This window comes from Homo sapiens, chromosome 9 (genome assembly GCF_000001405.40).
Source record: "Homo sapiens chromosome 9, GRCh38.p14 Primary Assembly".
NCBI classification, from domain to species: Eukaryota; Metazoa; Chordata; class Mammalia; order Primates; family Hominidae; genus Homo; species Homo sapiens.
Window position 1 is genome coordinate 21,216,161 of NC_000009.12, and position 1,714 is coordinate 21,217,874.

Sequence of the window (1,714 nt, forward strand, 5' to 3'; positions counted from 1 at the left end):
AAAATCAAAGATACAAGACAACAAGAACTGTATTTTTTATGTTCAAGTTTATATCCTGAAGGCAACATATAACGTGGTATAGAAAAATATATTTTTCTATAACTTGAATAAAATTATGATAGGTAACTTACTTAAATCATCTATTTTTAAGTCAGGTTATACAGTCAGGCTTGGTATTTAATCTTAAAAAATAAACAAACACAAGAAATTTTGTATAGTAAAAATTTAATGAAAAGGAAGTTAATATATTAACTAAATATGAAGAACATATATTGTTACATTAAGCAAAATGTAAAGGTACACATGATATTACATAAAACATGATTTAAACCTTAAAAATAGTTAAATAAATAAATATTTAAATAAATAGATGAATAGAGACATCAGCATGGTCATCTGTAAAGGACTAGTGCCTGCACAGGTAAACACGATGCTTCTTTACACTCCTGAAAACATTTGAAAATTTTGATTCAACTTGTGGTGGTTATAGAAGTGAGTCTTTGAAATGGAAGAACTCATGAAAGTGTGAGATGATGTATTAATCAATGAGGATCATTTCCATGTTGAATGAGTTTTCAATCCTTCCTTCTTAATCCTTTTTGCAAGTTTGTTGAAAAAGAGAAGGATCTCATGATTTCTGCTCTGACAACCTCCCAGGCACAAGGGCTGTATTTCTTCCCCATCAGATAAAGAGTGATTCTTTGAAAGTATTTCCTCACAGCCAGGATGGAGTCCTCATTCATCAGGGCAATCTCTTCCACCCCAACCTCCTGTGTCACACAGGCTTCTAGGTCATTCAGTTGCTGGAAAAGTTCAATGTAGAATTTGTCTAGGAGGGTCTCATCCCAAGCAGCAGATGAATCCTTTGTGCTGAAGAGATTGAAGGTCTGCTGGATCATCTCATGGAAGGCAGAGATGGCTTGAGCCTTCTGGAACTGGTTGCCATCAAACACCTCCTGGGGGAATCCGAAATCATATCTGTCCTTCAGGCAGGAGAAATGAGAGATTCTTCCCATTTGTGCCAGGAGTATCAAGGCCCTCCTATTACCCAGGCTGTGAGTCTGAGGCAGATCACAGCCCAGAGAACAGATGGATTTGTAGCTGAGCACCAGCACGGCCATCAGTAAAGAAAAGGACAGGGCCATTGGGATGTTGCAAATATTGCTAGGCTACTGGAGATGGGTAAACTTGAACCTTGGCCTCTAGGTTTTCTGAAGACTTTGCTCTGTGCATAGTTCTTAAATAGTGAACATACTAATTTCCATTTTCTAAATGCCCTGGTTTTACTTTCTATCTCTGTTTTTGCTTTCTTTATGCACTCTCTACATGTGTTTACATATGTTTTTCATTTTGTTCATCATTGCCTATTTTTCCCCTGCACTCAAAGACTTTTATGGTATTTTTTACTAATTGGAATCTTCATGAAATTTTAATAACACAGATTTGGCATATCTATTTATGTATACTACGTATACCTCTACTTCACAGATAAAAACTATAAAGTTTGCTCTTTTTATTCAATGTAAAGTTAAGAATGACAGAAAAGTTAAACTAAAATCTAAGTTTAAAAGCTGTTGACATATAACTTAATTTGATAAGTATATTTCTGGAATAACTTTTAGTGTAATTCATTAATGTAAATTATATTTTATCAAATTACATATGCAATATAAAAGCTATATAAATACACGTTAATATGAATGTAATTACATAC

General features: G+C 33.9%; 1 protein-coding gene across 1 annotated transcript; it reads right to left on the bottom strand.

The window, feature by feature from the left end:
* Positions 1-212: 212 nt before the first annotated feature.
* On the bottom strand, positions 213-1,151 carry IFNA16 (interferon alpha 16). The gene has a single exon (NM_002173.3). It carries the CDS (start codon positions 1,143-1,145, stop codon positions 576-578), a length of 570 nt encoding a protein of 189 aa, NP_002164.1. The 5' UTR covers positions 1,146-1,151; the 3' UTR covers positions 213-575.
* Positions 1,152-1,714: the final 563 nt, after the last annotated feature.